The sequence below is a fragment of the Homo sapiens genome, chromosome 19, assembly GCF_000001405.40.
Source record: "Homo sapiens chromosome 19, GRCh38.p14 Primary Assembly".
NCBI classification, from domain to species: Eukaryota; Metazoa; Chordata; class Mammalia; order Primates; family Hominidae; genus Homo; species Homo sapiens.
Genome location: NC_000019.10, coordinates 14087610 through 14091687, shown reverse-complemented (window position 1 = coordinate 14091687; position 4078 = coordinate 14087610). Strand labels below are relative to the sequence as shown.

The following is a 4078-nucleotide window of genomic DNA, read 5'->3' as shown; positions in this document are numbered from 1 at the left end:
GTGTCGCTGGTGTTCTCGACTTCGATCACCCACCCACACACCCCCAGGGGGTTGGAAAGGGAATTTCGGACCCCAGCGTGCAGGCCGATCAGGTCCTGGCTTGAAGTCCTTGTAACCAGGGTTTAGCTGAAATTCCGGCACTCCTTCGGCCCCGCAGGAGAAACGAGCGTCAAACTGCCCTTTGACCCCAGATTCGGGGTCCCCAAATCTGCGGCGCGCCCCCTCGGCGTCCAGCCCGGGACCGAGAGGGCGCTCTAGGGAGGCGCTGGGGCTGGCGCGCCAGGAGGCCGAGCGGCGGCGGGGGCGGCCCTGGCAGGGGGAGTAGAAGGGGGAGAGGGTGCGCGCCCCCCTTCCCGCATCCTCAGCGCCGGGCCAGGCGCGCCTGAGGGACGCGGGGGCGGCGGCAGCAGGAGGGTCCCCGCAGCACCCTGCGAGCGCGGCAGCCCCGGCCCGCGGGCGGCGAGTTCCCGGTAAGTGCGGTCCCGAGAGCGGAGCGCGCTGGAGAGGCGTGGAGAGGGGGGCTGGGCGCCGGGGACGTCTGGGTCCCGCGCCCAATGGCTGGAGGGCGGCCGAGCGCCGCCCGCCCGCCCTGCCCGCCCCCTCTCCACTCCCCCCGGCACTCCCCTCCCCCTCCCCCGCCCGCCGCTTTCCCCCGCCCCCGCCCCGGGCCAACTCCGCGGCGCCTCCTTAAAAAGCGCGCGGGAGTTGTAAGGGGGGGCCGGAGCGAGCCGGAGTGAGCGAGAGCGCAGGGTAAAGGGGGCGGGCGGGGGGCCCGGGCTCCACCTTAAAAGCGGGCGCGTGGGGGTGGGAGGGAGGAAGGCGGGCGGCGGGGAGGAGGGAGGGAGGGAAGGAAGGGGGGCCGGAGTGTCCCGGGCGCAGGGCGCGCGTGCGGCGGCGGCGGCGGCGGGGAGGGGCCGGCCGCGCCGCGCTCCCCTCCTCCCCCTCGCATCCCCGGCCCCGCGCGCGCCCAGCAGAAGCGGGTCTGTGTGTGCGTGCGTGCGAGTGAGTGAGTGTGTGCATATTTTTTTCTCTCTTTTCTTTCTCTCTCACTGTTTTTTCCTCTCTCTCTCTCTCCCTCTCTCTCTCTTTTTTTTTTTTTTTTTTTTGCAAAGAAACAGCAGCGCCGCCGCCGCTCCGCCGAGGCGCTGCGCCCCCCGGGGGGGGAGGCGGAGGAGGCGGGCAGCGGCGGAGGGAGGGGAGCCGGGGAGGGGGGCGCCGCGCTGGGAGGGAGGCAGCGCGCACGGTGCAGCCGGGCCGGGCGGGAGGCATGGCGGGGCCCCCGGCCCTACCCCCGCCGGAGACGGCGGCGGCCGCCACCACGGCGGCCGCCGCCTCGTCGTCCGCCGCTTCCCCGCACTACCAAGAGTGGATCCTGGACACCATCGACTCGCTGCGCTCGCGCAAGGCGCGGCCGGACCTGGAGCGCATCTGCCGGATGGTGCGGCGGCGGCACGGCCCGGAGCCGGAGCGCACGCGCGCCGAGCTCGAGAAACTGATCCAGCAGCGCGCCGTGCTCCGGGTCAGCTACAAGGGGAGCATCTCGTACCGCAACGCGGCGCGCGTCCAGCCGCCCCGGCGCGGAGCCACCCCGCCGGCCCCGCCGGCGCCGCCACAGCAGCAGCAGCCGCCGCCGCCGCAGCCACAGCCGCCGCCGGAGGGGGGCGCGGTGCGGGCCGGCGGCGCGGCGCGGCCCGTGAGCCTGCGGGAAGTCGTGCGCTACCTCGGGGGCAGCGGCGGCGCCGGCGGTCGCCTAACCCGCGGCCGCGTGCAGGGGCTGCTGGAGGAGGAGGCGGCGGCTCGAGGCCGTCTGGAGCGCACCCGTCTCGGAGCGCTTGCGCTGCCCCGCGGGGACAGGCCCGGACGGGCGCCGCCGGCCGCCAGCGCCCGCCCGTCTCGCAGCAAGGTGAGCGCGCCGGGGAGCGGGGGCGCCGCGCGGTGGGCAGGTGCGGGCGAAGTTGGTGGCGGGGGCGCGAGTCCCGGGAGGAACTGGGTGGCGGGTGGCTGGGGCTTTGCGCGCGTTTCCTGCGGGCTCGGTGCGTGGTGACCTTGGCAAGTGATTGAATCTCCCGGAGCCTCAGTTTCCTCCGCTGTAAACGCGGTTTAATAACAGTAGCGACCCCTTGGGGTTGTTGAGCGAGTTTAGTAAGATTTGGTTGTCGAGGGCTTTAGTTAACACAGAGCCTGGCACGGAGTGAATGCGTAAAAGTTAGTCCGTATTGTTCTTAAAGGTGGAATCGGTTCCTCCTCCCCACCGCCCGGACGCCACAGTCAGGGTCTGGGATTAGAACAGCTACTAATTTTGCATGCTTCTCTCCTCGGCTCCAGAGAGGTGGAGAAGAGCGAGTACTTGAGAAAGAAGAGGAAGAAGATGATGATGAAGATGAAGATGAAGAAGATGATGTGTCAGAGGGCTCTGAAGTGCCCGAGAGTGACCGTCCTGCAGGTGCCCAGCACCACCAGCTTAACGGCGAGCGGGGACCTCAGAGTGCCAAGGAGAGGGTCAAGGAGTGGACCCCCTGCGGACCGCACCAGGGCCAGGATGAAGGGCGGGGGCCAGCCCCGGGCAGCGGCACCCGCCAGGTGTTCTCCATGGCAGCCATGAACAAGGAAGGGGGAACAGGTAAGGATCCCTCTGGGTGGGGAAGAGTGCTAGGTGGAGAGGAACTCAGCCCGAAGACAAAGCCAAAGACAGGTGTTTTTTTCCTTCCCAGCTTCTGTTGCCACCGGGCCAGACTCCCCGTCCCCCGTGCCTTTGCCCCCAGGCAAACCAGCCCTACCTGGGGCCGACGGGACCCCCTTTGGCTGTCCGTAAGTTGGGGTATTGGAGACATGGGGGTGCTGCTCAGGTGTGTGGTACAGCCAGAGAGACATCCGTGTTCACTGGTGTCTGTTTGTTTTGATGCAGTCCCGGGCGCAAAGAGAAGCCATCTGATCCCGTCGAGTGGACCGTGATGGATGTCGTCGAATATTTTACTGAGGCTGGATTCCCGGAGCAGGCGACAGCTTTCCAAGAGCAGGTGAGTTTCCAGCCCAGGACTACACACTGACAGACACAGAGGGCCTCCCTGGGATGTGCCCTGATCCCGGCTCTCTCTGTTCCTGTCCCACCCAGGAAATTGATGGCAAATCTTTGCTGCTCATGCAGCGCACAGATGTGCTCACCGGCCTGTCCATCCGCCTCGGGCCAGCCCTGAAAATCTACGAGCACCACATCAAGGTGCTTCAGCAAGGCCACTTTGAGGATGATGACCCCGATGGCTTCTTAGGCTGAGCGCCCAGCCTCACCCCTGCCCCAGCCCATTCCGGCCCCCATCTCACCCAAGATCCCCCAGAGTCCAGGAGCTGGACGGGGACACCCTCAGCCCTCATAACAGATTCCAAGGAGAGGGCACCCTCTTGTCCTTATCTTTGCCCCTTGTGTCTGTCTCACACACATCTGCTCCTCAGCACGTCGGTGTGGGGAGGGGATTGCTCCTTAAACCCCAGGTGGCTGACCCTCCCCACCCAGTCCAGGACATTTTAGGAAAAAAAAAATGAAATGTGGGGGGCTTCTCATCTCCCCAAGATCCTCTTCCGTTCAGCCAGATGTTTCCTGTATAAATGTTTGGATCTGCCTGTTTATTTTGGTGGGTGGTCTTTCCTCCCTCCCCTACCACCCATGCCCCCCTTCTCAGTCTGCCCCTGGCCTCCAGCCCCTAGGGGACTAGCTGGGTTGGGGTTCCTCGGGCCTTTTCTCTCCTCCCTCTTTTCTTTCTGTTGATTGTCGCTCCAGCTGGCTGTATTGCTTTTTAATATTGCACCGAAGGTTTTTTAAATAAAATTTTAAAAAAAGAAAAAGGGAAAAAAAAGCCACGGAGTCCATTTTATGAATGGGGTGGGGAGAGGGCACTAAAGAGCCTCCTAAGAGAGCCTCAGGTTAGGACAGAATTGTTTGGGGAGGGAGAAAAACAGAAACAATGAATTATAGCTGCCTCACAGCCATGTATAACAATAATTGCTCCAGGAAGGTGGGAATATTTGCTTTTTTTTCTTCTGTAATCTCACCGTGTCCGTGTCCAGAACAGAGCTAGGCACACAG

General features: G+C 64.8%; 1 protein-coding gene across 1 annotated transcript, besides 6 other annotated features; it reads left to right on the top strand.

The window, feature by feature from the left end:
* Window positions 202–531: a silencer, noted in NCBI's record as "silent region_10232". NCBI's record gives its function as "represses an Ori minimal core promoter by ATAC-STARR-seq in GM12878 lymphoblastoid cells {active_cell/tissue: GM12878}" and the evidence as "EXISTENCE:reporter gene assay evidence [ECO:0000049][PMID:35858748]".
* Window positions 582–631: a silencer, noted in NCBI's record as "silent region_10231". NCBI's record gives its function as "represses an Ori minimal core promoter by ATAC-STARR-seq in GM12878 lymphoblastoid cells {active_cell/tissue: GM12878}" and the evidence as "EXISTENCE:reporter gene assay evidence [ECO:0000049][PMID:35858748]".
* Window positions 772–991: a silencer, noted in NCBI's record as "silent region_10230". NCBI's record gives its function as "represses an Ori minimal core promoter by ATAC-STARR-seq in GM12878 lymphoblastoid cells {active_cell/tissue: GM12878}" and the evidence as "EXISTENCE:reporter gene assay evidence [ECO:0000049][PMID:35858748]".
* Window positions 937–3837, top strand: SAMD1 (sterile alpha motif domain containing 1). Its single transcript, NM_138352.3, is given in 5 exon segments — window positions 937–1903; window positions 2326–2620; window positions 2712–2808; window positions 2906–3017; window positions 3113–3837. Coding segments are annotated over 5 exon segments (1299 nt in total). The 5' UTR covers window positions 937–1267; the 3' UTR covers window positions 3272–3837.
* Window positions 1322–1581: a silencer, noted in NCBI's record as "silent region_10229". NCBI's record gives its function as "represses an Ori minimal core promoter by ATAC-STARR-seq in GM12878 lymphoblastoid cells {active_cell/tissue: GM12878}" and the evidence as "EXISTENCE:reporter gene assay evidence [ECO:0000049][PMID:35858748]".
* Window positions 1882–1931: a silencer, noted in NCBI's record as "silent region_10228". NCBI's record gives its function as "represses an Ori minimal core promoter by ATAC-STARR-seq in GM12878 lymphoblastoid cells {active_cell/tissue: GM12878}" and the evidence as "EXISTENCE:reporter gene assay evidence [ECO:0000049][PMID:35858748]".
* Window positions 2576–3085: an enhancer, noted in NCBI's record as "H3K4me1 hESC enhancer chr19:14199415-14199924 (GRCh37/hg19 assembly coordinates)". NCBI's record gives its function as "activates a minimal SCP1, AML or CMV promoter by ChIP-STARR-seq in naive H9 embryonic stem cells {active_cell/tissue: H9 hESC(naive)}" and the evidence as "EXISTENCE:reporter gene assay evidence [ECO:0000049][PMID:30033119]".
* Window positions 3838–4078: the final 241 nt, after the last annotated feature.